At 47.7% G+C, this 20108-nt stretch overlaps 1 protein-coding gene across 26 annotated transcripts in view, besides 5 other annotated features; it reads left to right on the plus strand.

Annotated features, from left to right (window-relative positions):
- Nucleotides 1-20108, plus strand: part of ZHX2 (zinc fingers and homeoboxes 2) — a 194132-nt gene that overhangs the window by 79199 nt on the left and 94825 nt on the right. For 13 of the 26 annotated variants that reach the window (NR_182048.1, NM_001412805.1, NM_001412799.1 and 10 more), the window contains one exon: nucleotides 3900-3962. The gene's annotated coding sequence lies outside the window, so the exon portion shown is untranslated. Of the gene's footprint in view, nucleotides 1-2673; nucleotides 3030-3316; nucleotides 3746-3818; nucleotides 3963-13862; nucleotides 14018-20108 lie in introns of those variants that run through there. The other 13 variants (NM_001412806.1, XM_047421590.1, NM_001412807.1 and 10 more) reach the window with 7 other exon arrangements.
- Nucleotides 2138-2762: an enhancer, noted in NCBI's record as "H3K27ac-H3K4me1 hESC enhancer chr8:123873954-123874578 (GRCh37/hg19 assembly coordinates)". NCBI's record gives its function as "activates a minimal SCP1, AML or CMV promoter by ChIP-STARR-seq in naive and primed H9 embryonic stem cells {active_cell/tissue: H9 hESC(naive and primed)}" and the evidence as "EXISTENCE:reporter gene assay evidence [ECO:0000049][PMID:30033119]".
- Nucleotides 2138-3890: a biological region, named in NCBI's record as "CDK7 strongly-dependent group 2 enhancer GRCh37_chr8:123874507-123875706".
- Nucleotides 2370-2567: a silencer, noted in NCBI's record as "fragment chr8:123874186-123874383 (GRCh37/hg19 assembly coordinates)". NCBI's record gives its function as "represses an EF-1alpha promoter that drives an FKBP-Casp9 reporter gene in an ReSE screen in K562 erythroleukemia cells {active_cell/tissue: K562}" and the evidence as "EXISTENCE:reporter gene assay evidence [ECO:0000049][PMID:32094911]".
- Nucleotides 2691-3890: an enhancer, noted in NCBI's record as "CDK7 strongly-dependent group 2 enhancer chr8:123874507-123875706 (GRCh37/hg19 assembly coordinates)". NCBI's record gives its function as "activates an origin of replication core promoter dependent on BRD2, BRD4, P300/CBP, MED14 and CDK7 cofactors, with strong dependence on CDK7, by STARR-seq in HCT116 cells {active_cell/tissue: HCT116}" and the evidence as "EXISTENCE:reporter gene assay evidence [ECO:0000049][PMID:35650434]".
- Nucleotides 2763-3387: an enhancer, noted in NCBI's record as "H3K27ac-H3K4me1 hESC enhancer chr8:123874579-123875203 (GRCh37/hg19 assembly coordinates)". NCBI's record gives its function as "activates a minimal SCP1, AML or CMV promoter by ChIP-STARR-seq in naive and primed H9 embryonic stem cells {active_cell/tissue: H9 hESC(naive and primed)}" and the evidence as "EXISTENCE:reporter gene assay evidence [ECO:0000049][PMID:30033119]".

Here is a 20108-nt window from a genome sequence, read left to right on the forward strand (position 1 = left end):
CAGTGGGGGGATTGAAGGAGGGGAGGGGAGTGGGGAGAGATGAGCAGGCACCAGCCTCACAGAGCTACAGAGGCCATGGGGTGGGGAGCGTGGTCTTTGCCCTGACACAGGTGAGGAGCCTGTTAGCTGTCCCTGTCTTGCACCCCTTCTTTATACATTGTACCTTCTCCCACTCAGTCTATTATTTGTCTTTCCCCTTTTTTATGCCATGAGTTTCTTAATGGTAGGGACTGGGTTTTATTTATTTATGTCTATCTGGTGCATAGCACAGAATCAGATATATATGGGTACCCAATGAATTATTGTTAGATATTTAATATGCTCAACATTTAATATTAACATGTTCAATGTCTAATAACTATATGTATATTTAAGTTCTATATTGACATTAGTACCTGTATCAGTCCATTTTCACACTGCTATAAAGAACTGCCTAAGACTGGGTCATTTATAAAGGAAAGAGGTTTAATTGACTCACAGTTCAGCATGGCTGGGGAGGCCTCAGGAAATTTACAATCATGGTGGAAGGGGAAGCAAGGCACCTTCTTCACAAGGCAGCAGGAAGGAGACGCAGTGAGCGAAGGGGGAAGAGCTCCTTATAAAACCATCAGATCTCGTGAGAACTCACTCACTATCATGAGAACAGCATGGGGAAAACCACGCTCATGATTCAATTACCTCCACCTGGTCTCTCCCTTGACACATGGGGATTGTGGAGATTACAATTCAAGATGAGATTTGGGTGGGGACAGAAAGCCTAACCATATCAGTACCTAGAATGTAACTTGCATTATGCAAGCATTTCTGCTATTAAATGATATATGCATTTCTGTAAATCCTTGCATTCTGAAAAATTCAAAAATCACAGAGATTTGGGAGACAATAAGATTGCAGCACACAATTCACAATTCATGCAACTCTTTAACAAACCACAATCCTAGTGATGATTATAGCACAGTTAAAATGGCATGCTAAATTTTGAATTAAAAATACATTAGTAACTTTAGGACCTGAGTAACCATAGGGCTATATTTTACAAACCAAAAGGGGAACTTGAAGGCAAGTGGCTAGAGAAAGTTTGAGGCAGCCGAGTTATGGAGGCAGGAGCGGACAGATCTTCATCAGAAGTTACAGGTACAAGAGCAGTTGCAGGCTTTGCTGAAATATATCAGAGAGGGTCGGGCGTGGTGGCTCACACCTGTAATCCCAGCACTTTGGGAGGCTGAGGCAAGTGGATCATGAGGTCAGAGATCGAGGCCATCCTGGTCAACATGGTGAAACCCGATCTCTACTAAAAATACAAAAATTAGCCGGGCATGGCAGTGCATGCCTGTAGTCCCAGCTACTCGGGAGGCTGAAGCAGGAAAATTGCTTGAACCCAGGAGGCGGAGGTTGCAGTGAGCCGAGATCATGCCACTGCATGCACTCCAGCCTGGAGACAGAGCAAGACTTCGTCTCAAAAAAAAAAAAAAAAAAAAAAAGCACTATCAGAGAGGAGTGGTCTAACATGGCCTTTGCACAAATATCAGGGAGAAGTGAGCAACAAACTCTTCTAAGACAGCACATGGCCACACTGAGCCAAGAGGAAGAACGTGGAGTGAGCGGGTGTCATGGACAGCATGGAGTCATCTGTGGCTTACTACACTCAGCTGTGTCAGGGATCTTTGCATCCAGCTGCTTTTACTTGGTGAAGCAAAACATTAATGTGCTGGGAACATTTGCCTAAGAGCCAATACTACTTCCACATTTTATGGACATCATTCCACTGTATATCTTAACTTAGCTGAACTGTCTTATGGAAGCAAGTGCAGTAGAACGAATGATGTCTGATATAACATAATGACTCACTGATAAGTCAAGAATGCCAGTTGTCTAGTTTACATTGAGAAAAGTACTGGTCATGCACCCTGCATGGGTTGTGGACTGTTTTCCTCTTGGTCTGTGAGTCTATTTAGTAAATTCACCTTACAAGCAGAGTGTGGAGCAAGAGCATATGGAGTTGGGAGATGCTAATTTAGAGTATCGTAAATCTATGCTGTGATGTCCCCCTCCTCATCAGGAGCAGCTAGACTATACTGGTTGTACCTCTGGGCTTGGAGTCAGAGGATAGTCACCCCAGCCTGTGTGATAACTGTGTGACCTCAGGAAAGTCAATTAACCTCTCTGTTTTCCCAACTGCAAAATAGAGCTAGTGACATGCCCCTTAAAAAGTAAGGAGCTGATTAGCTGGTGGATAAAAAGCTCTTTCTAAGCTATGAAGGACTTTGGAGAGTATTGTTCTTCTCGCAGGTCAGTGCCTGGAATGCTCAGGTTAGCTTGTCTCCTGGGGCGCCTCCTCCCGCCGGATGGTTAGTTCTAAAGGGCAGTGGACAAAAGCGCTCAACTTACTGGAATCAAAATAAATTAATCACTGGGATTAACTGCAGAAGCTCGAATTCCCCTTCAGGAAGGAGGCCCAGAACCTTCAACTGGGGAATTTTGCTGGCCTTTGACAAAACTGAGGAGGAGGGAAGCCTGTGGCCAGTATTCAGTGCCTCCCTCCCGGAGTGCTCTGCCCGATACCCGAGGCCACCACTCACTTCCAGGACTCCAGTCACCCACCACCCGTGGCTAGGACCCCTCCCTCAGCCACTCCCACAAAGCCAGGTCTGACTGCACCTTCCCCCAGATAGTGCAGTGGAAGGCAACACAGGCTTTGGAACCACGTGAACGTGGCTTTGGATCAGCCCGACCACTCACCAGGTCCACAGCCATGGTGGCAAGTTGTCATTTTTGGAGCCGGTTTCCCCACGTGGAGAATGGGCTGCAACTTCCTTCCTTCCGTGATTAAGAGAATGATACACCAGCGCTTTGCAAACTTTTAACCTGCCCAGGAATCACCTGAAGGTCTTGTTAAAATACAGGCTGCTCCCATACCGTAGGGCTTGGTGGGGCCTGGGACTCTGTGTGTGCAGCAAGCTCCCAGCCGGTACGATTGCACCCTTGAATAGTAATACCCCAGGTCAGGTGTGCGAGGGGCCTGGCGCGTGGTAAGTACTCAGTCAACAGATCTGCCACCTGAAAGTTTTCTTTCCCCCAGCCAAAAGGTTCTCCTTTGAAAACAGGAATGGATGAAAAGAGAAAGCTCTGCCCACCTCAGAATTCTCAGGGAAACAAGAAAAAACAAGTTTGGCTTTCAAGGCGGGCTGGGCGTGGGGAGTGAGAACGGTGTGCCCTCCGCGGCAGCTCCCTGGCTCGGTGGCTGCTCCGTGCACATGTGCGCCGCAGGTGGCCTCTGCCCTGCGTGGTTAAACCTCTAGGGCTCAGGCCCCAACTTGCCGTGCTGTGAACACATCCTCAGAACCGGGCACATGCCTTTTTCTTGCGGCTACAGCTCTCCCGAGGAATTTTCAAAGCACACGGGGTTCGCTTGGCAGGAGTCTCCCAGGATATAAATACGCTTTGGGGGCTTTTGTTTTAAGGACTGCAGTATCTTTTCGACTTGAGGCCTGAGCACAGAGCTTTCCCCCTTCGCCCTCACCAAAATGCAACCATGAAGGGCCGCTGCCAGGAAGACTCAAGGGGACTCTGACTGAGGTTAAAGAGAGGCCTCCCGCACCCCTACATCCGCCGATTTTGCCTTTCATTTCGCTCTTCTAGAAAGCCTGCTTTTCCACAAGCTGCTGACTCATCCAGGGCTAGGGTCTTTTTTTTTTTTTTTCTTTTTTTCTTTCTCAGAATCGCCACAAAGCCCAGAGATTTTGAGGTTGGTTTAATGAGCGGCTCAGTCCTCACCATTTCCTTCTCATTCATCTTCCCCACCTCCATCCCAGTCCCCCATTGACTCCATCCTGCTAGAAAAGAGATGGACACCCAATTGCTCTGCCCTGCTTTTGATACTGAGTTTCTGTCCCCTGTAGGTCTGGATGTACCGACTGCTTTTGGAATAAAAAGATTCCCAGGATGTGAGCAACACGGGACCGGTGAGTACCGTCGCGTTTGGCAGTGTGGGGCCTAGGCTGGATTTCAACAAGGGAAAGGAGAGGGATGGGAGGGGCAGGGGCAGCTGAGCTCTGGCAGCTCTGAAACTGTATTTCCATGCACGTGTGCCTGGAAACAGCACAGGGCCCAGAATCTAGGTGTGAGTCCCTTGGAATCCACTGGGTTCCTGCCAATCCCTCCCCAGGAGCACTGGAGCCTGCAGGTAGCTGGACTGTCCTCCCTCTGCTCTGATGATAGCAGCCCAGACTCACCATCCAGAGGGCATGTGCTCAGAAGTGTTTCCAGTAAACCTCTAGCCAGGGCTAGGGAGATATTCTTAGAACAGAGAGGGAGCTATCTGGCTCACACCATTTAGGAAACCATGGCCCCGAGGAGACAGTGCTAAAGTGAGGCAGGAAAGCCACCTTTGCACATTTGAAAAACTGTCATGAGCAGGGCAGAGGTGGGCAGCTGTTGACTCCACCTAAGGAAACATTCCTAACAGAAGAGCTATGCAAGAGTGCAATAGGAAACTTGGGAAGTAGAGTGAGTTCCCTGTTGCTGGCAGAATTCAAGCAGAGGTTGGAGAAATGTCTGTGGGACACGTCGAAGGGGAGAGTGCAATGTTTTACAGACCCTGTTCCCTGGTGATCTAGAATGCTGTGAGGGACAGGCAGTGGGAGGAGGGAGGTAGTGTAGGGAAAGTCTGAATGAAGGAAGCTTTTGAACTCGTGCCTGCAAATGCTCAGCATTGCCTCCGTTTTAGGTGCAGGTTCTCCTGTAAAACTGTTTGGAAGCCACCAGATGAAATGACCCTCATGTCTCTCCTACGTTGTTGCCCATTGGCTGGCTGTACCTGAGCTAATGCCAGACAATGCACATATCATAGACATGAGCCCAAACACCTGCTGTATGTGGTCCAGGGGGCAACTCTCAAAGCATAATGAGAGTTTTGCTCAGAGGCTCTGGGGAGCCTATCTCATGCCAGAACCACCAAAAGAGTTACTGGCTAGTCATGTCATCAAGGGACTCGGCCCAAGATCCAGACCACATAGACAAGAGGAAAAGGCATGGGGGAACAGGTGGCAAGACTCACCCACCCCCCCACTCCCCAGGGCCCCAGAGAAGGCAAAAGCGGGTGTGGTCCAGGCAGGTGGCTTGGCTTCAGCTTCACCTGGAATCGTGGGCTCTTGGGCAGGGGCAGTATCACATACTCCAGTGGCCAAAACCTGGCCCACTGAGCGTGAGAAAAATTGCACTCCAGACACAAATGGGGAAGTTACGCAGGAGGGACACCCATTGCGCTTGGGAGGGTCTGAATAATGAGCACACGGGTTCCTTTGTGCTTTGTAACTGGGTCTTCTTCCCCTGGGGTCTGGGTCAGCTGCAACAGTAAATATTTACCAAGGGCCCCTGAGGGCAGGGCTCTGTGGGAGGCCAGAGACGGTGTTTTTCTTTAAGAAACTGACAGCCTGGATGAGAATCGAGTTTGACAGTGGTTGTGCACAGGCTGTATATTCAGCTGAGCCCTGTTTGCTGTCAGGGGCTGGGGAAAGGAGGGAGAGGAGAGGACTGAACTGTGACTTGGCAAGTCTTTTTTTTTTTTTTGGAGACAGAGTCTCACTCTGTCGCCCAGGCTGGAGTGCAGTGGCACGATCTCTGCTCACTGCAAGTTCCGCCTCCCAGGTTCATGCCATTCTCCTGCCTCAGCCTCCCGAGTAGCTGGGACTACAGGTGCCCACCACCACGCCCAGCTAATTTTTTGTATTTTTAGTAGAGATGGGGTTTCACCATGTTAGCCAGGATGGTCTCGATCTCCTGACCTCATGATCCGCCCGCCTCAGCCTTCCAAAGTGCTGGGATTACAGGCGTGAGCCACCACGCCCGGCCGACTTGGCAAGTCTTTAAGCAGGACTTGAGCTTTGAGGACAGGTACTGTGTGCTTGCATTCATAGAACCTGGCACGTAGTAGGTGCTCAGTAAATGATTGTCAAATATAGTGATGAGGAGGCAGCCCAGGGAGGCAATGTCTGTGGTTCAGAGCATGGTCCCTGGAGTCAGAATGCCGGATTCCCATCCCAGCCCTTCCACTAGCTGTGGGGCCTCAAGCATCAGTCTCCTCCTAAGATAGAGATAGTGATAGTTCAATTTAATGAGTTAATTCACATGAAGCTGCTGGGATATAGTAAGTGCTCAATAAATATTAATCCTTATTCTTATTCTGGATGTGAGACATGAACCCAGGTTAAGGCCCAATGATGGGACAGGAAAAAGTAGTGTAGGTTGGAGGACAGAGCACTGGGCTGGGAGTCAGAAGCCCTGGCATAGCTGCAGGGCAGGGTCAAGGAAGCAATCCCCACCGGTTAGCACATCCTCTAAGCTGGAGATGCTGTGGAAGGCTGTCAAGGTGGCACTGTTTTTCCTCCTGGCTCCCTCTGGTCCCTCCTGGTTGAAAGCGGAGGTGGCCCTGCTATTTATTCCTAGCTGTGGGCCTCCTGGAGAGTGGTGTGACCTCTCAGAACACCCCTTTTTCCCAGTGAATGGGGACACCCTTACTATCCTCCTTCCCTCCGGGAAGTAGTCGTGAAGACTGAGAAACACCAGCACAAAAGAAATATTCCATTGATACAGATGGAGAATCATTTAGGACCCCAGCTTAGGTAGTGTGGTCTCAAGCCACACAGTTCCCTGTTCCTTCCCCAGTGAGGTCTGGCTGTCTCCATGGCTGGAAGACAAACAGCGTGTCGCCAGATTCCCATAGTGATGATTCACTTTGCAAAAGGCACTCCCCCCCACCCCAGGATTTGGAGCATATTTCAGATAAAAATTGCATTCGCCTGAAACACTTGTCAGGTTTACATTTCTTACGTGAGTGGTAGACCTGGAGTTACAGAATGAGCTTGCTTAGTGCCCTGCCTTTGGCTCCCTCACCCCATCTCACCCAGACCTTAGTGGATAGCAGGATTGTAATGTAAGCCAAAATTGTATATGACACAAACACAGCGCCTGTGCCTAGGGGATCTAAAACTATTCTAGATTCCTTTTCCCATCAACCCCCCTGACATCTGCCAGGTGGCCACAGCCTCACTTCCAATTTGGGTGGGAAGACAGATGGCATGAGGGGATCAATTGGTCATGGCTGCCAGGGGCACTATGCTGAGAAGTGTGTCGAGGCATATCCAGGAAAGAGTATGCTGCAGTGGATTACTGATGTCTGCTGAGGAGGCAAGAAGAACTGTAGCATTCCTGCCACTTTTTGGCATCTCTAGACAAAATAATTTCTTTATTTTTTATTTTTTATTTTTGAGACAGAGTCTCGCTCTGCCACCCAGGCTGGAGTGCGGTGGCACGATCGCAGCTCACTGCAACCTCCATCTCCTGGGCTTGAACAATTCTCTTGCCTCAGCTTCCCAAGTAGCTGGGATTACAGGTGCCTGCCACCATGCCAGCTATTTTTTTTTTTTTTTGTATTTTTAGTAGAGACAGGGTTTCACCATGTTGGCCAGGCGGGTCTCGAACCCCTGGACCTCAAGTGATCCGCCCACCTCAGCCTCCCAAGGTGCTGGGGTTACAGGCATGAGCTACTGCACCCAGCCCCTAGACAAAACAATTTCTAAGTCTACCTTCCTGCATCCTACTTTGTGGTCTTATATCAGCAATCTTGTTTTATATCAGAGGGACAAGGAGTAGTCAAACCTCATTAATCTGGACCACTTTAGGAGCAACCCAAGTGAGTGAAAAGTCTTCAGCCCAGGGTGTTTCCTGCAGGCAGTTGAGCCTTCTTACCATTCAGTCCACAGACTCAGCTCAGCCCAGCTCACCAACTGGTGCTAACGGAGGAGCCACAGGACCTGTGCTTAGCAGGTCTGACCACATGGCTGAATGCACCTGACCTGTACTTTTAAGCCATTTACTCTCTTTGCATGCTTAGGAATAAATACCACTGAAACTCTAACAGAAGCAGTGTGTTTTTTGAATAGAAAATCATTCAATGGGCAGCTTTGCTTCTATTTCAAATTGCCAGGGAATTTGAATTAGAGAAACTTTGTACTAGCTGGGAATAAGCTGTTTTTCCAGAGTTATATGCAGAAAATGAGACAAAATAGTTCAGAACTAGGTTTCCCCTGAGTTTCCTGATCTGTAAAATGGGGAAATAATACATCTCACAGGGTTATTTGGGAGAGTAAATGAGATAAAATGTGGAAGAGACGTAGCGTGCAAACTCGCTCACAAAAGATGGTCAAGAAATGCTATTTCTTTTCCCCCGTACCACCTCCCATCTATCTTCACACTGAAAGCATAGCTTTTTTCTTGCAATATGTTCAAGAAATGATGTTACAGATAGATTTTTTAAAATAGCATCATACTTTTCAAATGACTCCTGTTAGTTTTTCAGAGGCTCTTCCTTTTTATTGCTGATGATCCTTCAGTGGGAAATGTCCACTTAATTCTTCAGCCTGAGTTCCTCTGCTCTGGTCTTCTGGGTGGAATAGCTCCAAGGGTCCTGACATGCATGTGGACGAATGTCTTTGTGACACGATTGAGCCTTTTAGCGGGTTTCTCTAGTACAGACTGAGTCATACGGTGATTCGGCTATTCCACATCTTTCCTTCAACACAGCAAGTGTCCACACCTGAATTCCATTGTCGGGAGATTCAGGACAGGAAGGGTGATCTAATGCCAAACTGACACCAACCATGTGTCAGAAGGATGGGCTTTACTTGTTAATAACGGGTAAGAAGTTTGCAATGAAAATCTTCTTTCATCTTTAGTCTCTGAGAATCTTCAGGAGAAAGATTAAGTTAACACTTAAAAAAAGAAAAATCAAGGCCGGGCACAGAGGCTCACACCTATAATCTCAGCACTTTGGGAGGCTGAGGCGGGAAGATCACCTGAACCCAAGAGTTTGAGACCAGCCTGGGCAGCATAGGGAGACCCTGTCTCTACAAAATATGCTTTAAAAAATAGCCAGACAAACACGGTGAAACCCCGTCTCTACTAAAAATACAAAAAATTAGCCGGGCATGGTGGCAGGCACCTGTAGTCCCAGCTACTTGGGAGGCTGAGGCAGGAGAATGGCGAGAACCCGGGAGGCGGAGCTTACAGTGAGCCGAGATCGCGCCACTGCACTCCAGCCTGGGTGGCAGAGCAAGACTCCGTCAAAAAAAAAAAAAAAAAAAAAAATAGCCAGACATGGCGGGGCTCACCTATGGTCAAGAGGCTGAGGCAGGAGGATTGCATGAGACAAGAAGATCAAGGTTGCCCTGAGCTACGATCACACCACTGCACTTCAGCCTGGGCAACAGTGAGACCCTATATTGGAAAAGAAGAAAAATCAAGACTAATGAAATCTATGCGAAGCAGGGAGAGGGACCTGCATGGCTGGAGGAGCAGCACCCCTGATCACAGAAGCCGAGACTCATTAGGACTCCTGGGTTATTGAGTGAGAGCTGGGGCTCTAAGGCAGACAACAGACAAGTGCACCTTTATTCTAGCCACCCTGAGCATCAGCCTCCAGTCCTCTCTGGCCTGCAACCTGGTGAGCTGGGCTGCACAACCCTCCTCTTCTCTCTTGTCCTCTCCCCTGAGGCCTAGAGCAGAACTTCTCCACAGCCTGTGCTCTGCCCTTACCTGAGGAGCTACCTGCCTCCTTCCCAGGAGAAAGGGTGGCCAGTGGTCTTCCAAGGCTCCATGCGCAGGGCAGAAGGAGGAATATAATCCTATCCCACCCTCCCATTCTCCGTAGTGTGGCTGCCCTGTGGTGTATCCCTCTCCTCATCCTTTTTTGTTTTTTTTTTTTGTTTTTTGAGACAAAGTTTCGCTTTTGTCGCCCAGGCTGGAGTGCAGTGCTGCGATCTCGGCTCACTGCAACCTCCGCCTCCTGGATTCAAACGATTCTCCTGCCTCAGCTTCCCAAGTACCTCTCTTCATTCTTATCCAGCCTCAGACTCTTCCCGCCTGAGGATGGAGCTGGGGGACACCGTGGGGCTGGAGAGAAGGCCTTGAGATGAGAGTGCATGGCCAACACAGGCTCCCTCAGGGAGCTGTCGCCGGGAGGCCCAGGCAGGGGCATCAGAACTCCATGCAGGTCCTGCAGCCTCCTCTGAGGCTCTGGTCTCCTCTCTGAGCATCCGTGGATCTTACAGTTGACACATCCAATGTGAGGCAATATTGCAGAGCCATCGAGAGTGTGCACTTTGGAGCCAGACTGCTCCTCAGTTAGAATCTCAGCTCCACCTTTGCTAGTTCTGTGATTCTGGATGAGTTATCTAACTTCCATGTGCTGTGCCTTCCTCATCTATAAAATGGGTTCCCTCATAGGGTAGTTAGGATGACTAAATGAGTCTGTGGAAGGTGCTTGGGGTAGTGTCCACCACAGAGTAAAAGTGTTAGTAAAAACAAAATTAATAAGTAAATGAACACAGAAGTCAGTATGTCATTGATTACTGGATTCACCTCAGCAAGATGGTAAGTTTCCTACCCACAGATTCAAAGTCTTTCATTCTGCCTGTGGGTTCAGGGAGGCTTTCAATTAGACCCTGAAGGAGGGGAAACCTGGGCAGAGGTGGCAGAGGTGGACAAAGCTTGGACATTTGGAGGCTTTGGGGAGTCTGAGGTTGCTGGAGCAGGTAGAGCCTCATGGGGGAGCACATGGCAATTGAGATGGGCAAGGTCAATGAGGCAGACTGCAGAGGCTCTCAGGTGCCGTGCTCAGGATGGAGCTGTTTGCAGGGAGCAATGAGCGGCTTTCAGAGGTTTTTAACCAAGGGAGTGATATGATGCAACCTTGGGCTTAGAAAGGTGAGCTGGTGCCAGGCACGGTAGCTCACGCCTGTAATCCCAGCACTTTGGGAGGCCAAGGGGGGTGGATCATCTGAGGTCAGGAGTTCAAGACCAGCCTGGCCAACAAGGTGAAACCCCATCTCCACTAAAAATTAAAAATAAAAAAAAAATAGCTGGGCGTAGTGACAGGTGCCTGTAATCCCAGCTACTTGAGAGGCTGAGACATGAGAATTGCTTGAACTCAGGAAGCAGAGGTTGCAGTGAGCCAAGATCGTACCACTGCACTCCAGCCTGGGTGACAGAGCAAGTCTCTGTCTCAAAAAAAAAAAAAAAAAAAAAAAAAAAAGAAAGAGAAAGATGAACTGGTCAGAGTGCAGATGGCACTGCAGGTAGGAGAAGTCAAAGACAAGGAAGCAGTGAGGAGATGGTGGCTGTTCCGATGGCCCCAGAGAGAAGGAGTGACCCTCTCAACTGAGCAGTCACAGCAGAAATGGAGTGGGGAACTCACTCCAGAGCACCAATTCAGAGAAAGAATGGACTGCATGTGAAGATAGAAAGTGAGAAAGGACAGGTCCAGAGTGAGCCTCAGGTTCCTGGCTTGAGAATCTAAGAGACTGATCTTGTTAACCAAGTAGTGGACAAAAGCAGAAAAAGTGGCAGGTGGTGTTGAAGGCTCTGGAAGCGTTGCATTTGATGAACCGGTGGAGCGGGCAGGACGGGGAGCAGCATGGAGTAGCAGTTAACAGGTAGGCTCAGGAGTCCACGTGGCTTCAATTCACATCCTGGCCCAGCCAAGTGCTAGCTGTGTAACCTTGGAGAGATCGTTTAACTTTCCTGAGCCTCAGTTTCCTTATCTGCATAATGAGGATTGTGTAGTGATTATTACCTACCTGAGAAGGCTTTTAGGATCAGCACATGTACAGTGTTAAGAACTATGTCTGGTACTTGGAACCAACCCAAATGTCCATCAATGATAGACTGGATTAAGAAAACGTGGCACATATACACCATGGAATACTAAGCAGCCATAAAAAATGATGAGTTCATGTCCTTTGTAGGGACATGGATGAAGCTGGAAACCATCATTCTCAGCAAACTATCGCAAGGACAAAAAACCAAACACTGCATGTTCTCATTCATAGGTGGGAATTGAACAATGAGAGCACATGGACACAGGAAGGGGAACATCACACACCGGGGCCTGTTGTGGGGTGGGGGGAGGGGGGAGGGATAGCATTAGGAGATATACCTAATGTAAATGACGAGTTAATGGGTACAGCACACCAATATGGCACATGTATACATATGTAACAAACCTGCACGTTGTGCACATGTACCCTAGAACTTAAAGTATATATATATATATATAAACCCTTTACATATAATAAATAAATTCCTTTCTCAGGGCAAAAAAAAAAAAAAAAAAACTATGTCTGGTACAGAGGGAGTGCTCCTAAGTGTGAGTTTCCATTACATTAGTACTAGCATTGAAACTGATTTTAGGATTAGTGTTTATCATCCTAGAGATGTCCAACATGGGCCTGGAGCACAGAAACAAGCTCAGGAAGGGATAGATGTATTGGGAATCAATAGTACATACAGGCTGGTGATTACCAACCTATAGATGTGTTCCTAAGGAGGAAGAAATGGGCATCACCCGGGTTCTTTTCAAAGCGTATCATCCTACCCAACTGCACTATAACCCTGACCCTGGCCCCTGCAGTCCTGCTGTCCTATGAAAAATCAGCATAGGCAGGTATCACCATGACCAATGGGAATGTGCCGCATCCTTCAGGTCTGCAGGCGAAGAAAAAAGATGCACAGACAGCTGATGGAGGTGACAGGTGAACCTATGGGGTGACTGAACTCACTCAGGGACAGCTCAGAGATAGAAGACTGCTGGGCTGAAGACAGAACCCTGAGGCAGCATCAGCATTTAAGATGCAGGATCCAAAGCGGTAGCTCCATCAGTTCACAGAGCTACAACTGCCCCATGTGCCACTCGTATGAAATTCACTTTGCCCTCATGGACTAGATATGAAAACCCTGTTGTAGGCATTTGGTCCATCTACAGATTCAGGGGCAAGTTCCAACCAGGCCCCATTCAATAGCATAAGAGGCTTCCTTTGCCTCTTCCTCCACTATTAGGAGTGGACTCAGTGTGGCTAAGCTAAACCAAAGAGATGAAGAAAGAAGTGAGAGAGGCCACTTCATCCTTCTCTATAGTCCAGCTAAAACTTTGCCCTAAGTGCCCTGGCCTAACCCCCCGTTCCGTGATATTTCAGAGCTCAAAGTTTCTTGGCCAAGGAAATGAAAACACCTATAACTCGTAGATACCAATACTTAAGTTGGTATTTGATTATATTAGTCAGACTTTTGGTTACAAGATGGAAATCCAATTCAAATTGACATAAGTGTAAAACAAAAAGGCGGTTCGTTCGTGTAATTGAAAAGTCTGAGCTGGCCTGGCTTTGCGCCCAGCTGGATCTAAGCAATGTCTGCAGGCGTCGTGTCTCTCCATCTCTCGGCTCAGCTTTCTTCTGTGTGGGATTTACTCAGACAGGTTTCCCCCACCGACAGCCAGCAGCTTTTCTCAGCAACCCCCGTAGAAAGAAGGCTGTGCTTCCACAGTGCTCCCAGCAAATGCCCTGGAATTGAGAAACTCAGGTCACCTGTCTATCCCCAAGCCAACTGCTGGAGCCAAAGGGTGCACGGTGCCAACTGGCCAGGCCTGTGTCACGCACTCCCACCGGGCATTGTGGGACCACATGGACCAAGAATGGGTGGTGAGGAAATTGGGGAGAGGGAATAAACCAAAGCCAAATTACCATATGTAAGTCCTGCACTGCCTTAAAAGCCTAGTCGTTAAGAAAAAGGAGTGACCGTGGCGGTAATTCTCAGAGCAGACTCAGTGGGGAGCACTGAACCTGGAGCTGGCCTTTGTGGCCCAGAACACATGTGAGAGTGAAGGCTAGGCAGTGGAATATTTCCACAGAAGTGATATTCCACATGCGGGTCCCCCTCTGTAGCATGCTAACCCCACGTGCAGAAGTGTCATCTCCCCCGGGGGCTTGGGCAGTATCCTCTGTATGCTTCCACTTCTCTCCACTCCCCTGCAGCCCCTGAGCTGGTGCCTGTCCGTACTTGGCCCCTGTGCAGCACTCAGTAGATGGTCACTGGTTGAGCAGCATCAGAGCGGGCATGCAGAGAAGGGCCCCTCGTCCTGCGGCCGGTGCAGGACGCCATCTTTGCTTCAGGTGATGCTCCCACTCTGGTGAGTTCTCTGGTTTATATTGCAGACAACAATGTATTTGATCTAATGGCTGCTATAACATATTCCCACAAACTTAGGCTTAACACCAGTTTATTATCTTATGGTACTAGAGGTCATAGTCCGAAATGGGTCTCACTGAGCTGAAGGTGACAAACAAAGTATTGACAAAGTGTACTCCTTCCTGGAAGCTCTCAGGGAGAATCCATCTTCTTGCTTCCCAGCTTCTAGAGGCCTCCCGAATTGCTTAGCTCAGGGCCCCCTTCCATCTTCAAAGCCAGCAATGGATGCTTGAGTTTTTCTTATGCTGCAGAACATGAGAACATGCAGTTTCTCAGACTCTGACGTTCATTGGCTTCCTACATCTTTAAAGGACTCTTATGATTACCTTGTGCCTACCCTGATAATCCAGAATAATCTGTTTATCCTAAGGTCAGATGATTAGCAACCTTAATTCCATCTGCAATCTTGTCTGTTTTAGACTAGTCAAGTGCAGTTCTGAGAAGGGGGAAAGAGTAGACAAGGAGTTGAATCTGTGACTGCCTGTGAACCATGCGTTGAGATCACTGACTACCTCCATCTGCAATATTCATTCCTCTTTGCCATTTAACATAAAATATTCACAGGTTCCAGGGATTAGGGCACAGGCATCTTTGGGGGTCCATTACTCTGCCTACCACAGCATTGTTACAATCATCAGTTCTAATATTCATCCAGCACTCACTCAATACCATTTGCTAAGTCCTTGACAAGAGTTTTGCTCTTGGCACCCAGACTGGAGTGCCAATCTCAGCTGGAGTGCACAATCTCAGCTTACTGCAACTTCCGCCTCCTGGGGTTCAAGCAATTCTCCTGCCTCAGCTTCCTGAGTAACTGGGATTACAGGCATGCACCACCACGCCCAGCTAATTTTGTATTTTTAGTAGAGATGGGGTTTCACCACGATGGCCAGGCTGGTCTCGAACTGCTGACCTCAAGTGATCCGCCTACCTCGGCCTCCCAAAGTGCTGGGATTACAGGAGTGAGCCACCATGCCCGGCCATTGAATCTCCATAACCATCAAGAGGTACAGTAAACATCCCCATTTTACCACTGAGAAAACAGAGGCACCTAAAAGTCAGTTATCTCCAAGATAATATCCACAGACCCAGTAAACAGTAGATCATAGTTCTGCCAGACCATAAAGTCTGAGCTTCTAGACAGTCAGCTGATAGAGGGTGTCAGGAGATTCAGAATAGAAGAAAATGGAGATACTTTTCTACATCAGCAGCAGGGCATGGGGCAGTGGGGACGTTCTCAGGTGCCAGACCACCTGGGTTTATGTCCCAGCTCTATCCCTTACTAGCAACGTGACCTTGGGCAGGTCACCCCACCTCTGTATGCCTCCCTTTCCTTGACTGTAAAATGAGCAGACAAGGCTATAGTGAATCACCATGGCTGGTTTTATTTTTATTTTTAAAGTCAAACAAATTCCTGGATCCAGATTTCTCTTTTTTATGCTTGTCTTCAACCTGCTTTTAGAGGAAGGAAAACTCTGTTATATATATATATATATATATATATATATATATATATATATATATATATATATATATATATATATCCTTTTACTTTGCCTTCCTTTTCTCTTGTCTTTTCTCAGAAGGCAGCAGGGCAGGGACCAGCTAACTATGCCTGGCTCTGTGTGGCCTGTGGGCTAAGAATGGTATTGTATTTTTAAAGGGTTGTAAAAAACAAACAAAACAAAGAAGAACAATATGCAACCGAGGTTGCATGTGGCCCACAAAGCCTAAGATATTTACTGTCTGGCCCTTGACTGAAAAAGTTTGCTGACCTCAGAAAGAACACAGGCAGTAGTGTCAACCACACCTGGGGTTGGGTGCTGTACTAGATGATCAGGACTCAATTGGACCTTTGGGTCATGAAAGCACCTTGGGGCCTTCCCACAGTGGTGACTTTCATAAGATTTGTAGCAACAGCAGCAGCGCCGGTAGCAACAGCAGGTGCGGTAGTAGTAGACGTGGTAGTTGGAATTTACTGAGCATAATCTGCTTTAATCTCCTCAACAATCCTCTGCGATAAGCATGACTATGAGCCCCCTTTTACACATGTGGAAACAGAAGCTGCCTGGGGGTGCGGGTCCCCCGCCCGTGGTTACACAGTGAGATGGGACAGAACCAGGATTGGAACGTAGGCAGCCTGACTCTGAATTTTTCTACATTGCCTCCCTATCATTGCCATCAGCTCTCCCTTCAGGCAAGATAAATCTTTGCCTTCCCTTGTTTTCTTCCCTGACCCCTTTTCCCTAATTCTCTGACAAAATTCATTTCCACTGTAAAAGGGCAACTGAAAAATAGAAGAGCTTTCAAAACAGCTCTGACACAGACATCTATAATTTGGGTTTTGGCATCCATCCATCCATCCCATTCATCCATCCATCCCTCCACCCACCCATCCATCCATCCACCTACCCATCCACCCACCCATCCCTCCATCCCTCCACCCACCTACTCACTCATCCATCCATCCCATCCATTCACCCCTCCCTTGATCCCTCCCTCCCTCCCTCCATCCATCACAACACAGCACCAGGAACTCATAAGAGCCCACATCTTCGACACTGACAACTGGGGCAAACCCCAAGTGCCTGGGTCCTCCAAATTCATTGTTGCCAGGAAGCACAGAGGGAAGCTCATTAAATAGTACCAAGTACTTGATTAATATGCTGCAATTCGGGCAGCACCAGACTATTTCAGCACCCCCTCCCCTTACCCCGTTACCATGACAATATTATTTTAACAAACAGCTCCTTAATATTAAATGAAAATTATGCTCCTGACAGACGAGCAGAAGAGCAGCTGAACTACAAAGGGCTTAGAGGGTCCGCCAGGACATTTTTGCATGAAGCCATCAGTTTCCCCTGATCCCTGGATGCCATTTGTTGCCAGAAAATGCAAGTGTTCTGGAGGCTGGGAGCCAACGTGATGCCAGGCCTTGGTTACAAGCAGCAATTGAGGGTTGTCACTTTTTTAATGCAGAATGTCACAACGGCTCCACGAGGACGGGGTAGCGTGATAGCATTATTAAACACTCCTTTGTACACCGATCGGCTAATTTCACCCCTGCTCGCCTGAGGCTGCTGAAAGCCTTGTTTGCTTCCCGTCTTGAATCGAGTTGGATTGTAAGACTGAGTGTAGAGAGCCCTTGCCTGTGTGCACCAGGGTGAGAAGAAGCCCATCTTTCCTCTGCAAGGAGCCATCTGTCCCACCCAGTCAATTCAGCAACAAGCAGTTGCAGGGATTGGGGGACCCAAGCCTCTGCCCTCAATGGGGGTGAATGTCAAGAGAGAAAAGACGAAGGACATACAGGCTACTCTATGGTAACCTCCATCAGTATGTTGGTGGGTTTATGTGCCAGGCACTGTGCTAAGCACTTGAAAGCAAAAATTAAGGACACATCCGAGATCCCCAATGGCAAAGATGAGTGAATAACTATAGTAAAGTGGAGAGAGGATGGCAATGGCAGTGGGTGACCTATTAGCTGTGTGACCTTGGGTAACTTACTTAACCTCTCTGTGCCTCAATTTTCTCATCCACAAATTGGGGATAATAACACTATCTACCTTAACCATTGCCATGAGGTTTAAAATGAAATAAACACATAAGAAGCACTAGAACAGTACTTAAAATACTTAAAACAGTGGGCACATGGTAAGCAGTAAATAAATGCTAGCTAGGACTGCAAGTTCCCATGGTACCATGCATACAATTATAATAATGGCTAACATGTAGTAAGTGCTTACTCCATCCCAGGCACTATGTGAAGTGTTGGAGTTGTACTACATCATTTAATCTTCATAGGCAACCCTGTGAGATAGGTACTATGTCATCATTGTTATCCTCACCTTGCAAATGAGGAAACTGAGGCTCTGTGGGTTTGCGGAACTTGTCCTAGGTCCTGAGGCTGGGAAGAGGGGATTTGAATCCAGCTTCATCTGGATTTGCTGCCTCATCAAAACACGAACTACAGTATCACAAAAAGCACACAAATGGTGGTACTCCAGGAACACGGGAACCTCGCTGGGGAGGCCTGTCCCGGGGAAGTGGCTGCAGGTGACTTGAAGGCTGATGCATTTTCATGGACTGAGAGGATGGGACTGGAAAGTGGAAGAGGAATTCTAAGAAGGAGGACTTGGGGGAGCTAAGACCTGGAGGAGGGGAACTATGGACTGCATTTGGAGAAGGAAGCACGATCTGGTTTGATTGACTCTACAATAGGCAGATTCTTGGTACCAAGTGGGAGCTTGTCTTAAACAAATATGACCTATTTATTTAAAATATACGTTGGATTTTTATTTAAAATAAATAGATTGGAAGAGGAAGAGTGAGACATAAGGGGGAGAGCAAAGCTTGTAGAGATTTCTGTTCCCTCCTATCAGGATTTCACTGGGTGGACTAATATGAGAATGTCGGTAAAAGTTCTGTGTGTGTGTGTGTGTGTGTATAAAATAAAAACATTTCTTGCCAGTACCTCCAAAAGCAAAGATAGAGGCAAAGAAAGGAAGGCTTGAACAGTGTAGCAAAATACAATCAAAGCCATGGTATGTTACATTTAAAAATACATGTGTGTGTTTGTGTGTGTATGTATATCAGCTATTTATTGCCACAATAGTGCTTCATGACAACTGCCCACAAACCTCAGTGGTGAACAAGAAGAAACACTTATTTAGCATGAAAGTCTACAGGGTTCAGTTGATCTCAGTTTGGGTTGGGCCTGCTCACATACCTAGGTCAGTGAGGGGGTCCTGCTAATCTCAGCTGGAGTCAGCCATATCTTAGGGGGTTTTCTGGATGCTGGCTGATCTAAGATGACCTCTACTGGGATGACAGGGGTGAGTTGACAAAGCTTCGCACATCATTCATCCTCCAGCAGTCTCACCCAGGCATGATTTCATGGGAGTGGCAGAGGAGCGAGGGTGCTTTTGCAGAAAGGTACAAGAGCTTTTTCAGGTCTTGGCTTGCATCACATCCTTATCCAATGAACCAAAGCAAGTGACATGGCTGAGAGTCCCTGTAGGAGGTGCAGGGAGTGTGGGGACTCTACAAGGTGACATGTCAAAAGGCAGGAATACAGGGAACAGTAAAGCACTGGGACTGTTATTACAACCAGTAACTTGTTTCTAGAAGTCTGCTTGATGAAACCTTCAAGCCACATGGAGGAGTCCTCAAAGATGTGCTTGAGATATTCATATAATTTCTTCTGCTCTAAGAACCATGAGGTGAACTTGACCTCAAAGTGAGACCTTGACATTGGGGCATTTAAGTCAGTATCTGTGTCTTCCACCCCACACCTGATCCCTGACCCAAAGTGTCCACAGAGACTAATAGAACCCATCATTAGAGGAATGGGGACCTACTGCACTCTTCGTAGTGCCAGGGTTGGATGTGTTGCTTCTCCTAAGCTGTTTCCCTGCAGGGCAGCACAGCACTGCCTCGGAACTCAAGGTTAGCCTCGTGCCTCTCGGCAGAATCTGTTACTCAAGGATTCCTGAAAGGCAGTCTGCCTAGAAATGGAGGTCAAATGAAAGAAAGGCCTAAGGGTTTTTTTTGTCTTGTTTTGTTTTGGGTTTTTTTTGAGACAGAGTCTCGCTCTGTCACCAGGCTGGAGTGCAGTGGCACGATCTTGGCTCACTGCAACCTCTGCCTCCCAGGTTCAAGCGATTCTCCTGCCTCAGCCTCCCGAGTAGCTAGGATAACAGACACATGCCACCACGCCCAGCTAACTTTTGTATTTTTAGTAGAGATGGGGTTTCACCATGTTGGCCAGGATGGTCTCAATCTCTTGACCTCGTGATCCACCCACCTTGGCCTCCCAAAGTGCTGGGATTATAGGTATGAGCCACTGCACCGGGCTGGTTTTTTTTTTTTTTAATTCTGCGTCATTTTTTTCATATAACTCAATACTTTGAGTTTATTTCATACTTGATATCTTCCACAACAAGGACTAGCATTATTCCCATTTCACAGATGAAGTAAGTGAGGCCCAGTTATGTGACTTTCTCAGAGTGGCAAAGGCAGATGTTACCCCAGCCCTA

The sequence above is a fragment of the Homo sapiens genome, chromosome 8, assembly GCF_000001405.40.
Source record: "Homo sapiens chromosome 8, GRCh38.p14 Primary Assembly".
In the NCBI taxonomy this organism is placed as follows: Eukaryota; Metazoa; Chordata; class Mammalia; order Primates; family Hominidae; genus Homo; species Homo sapiens.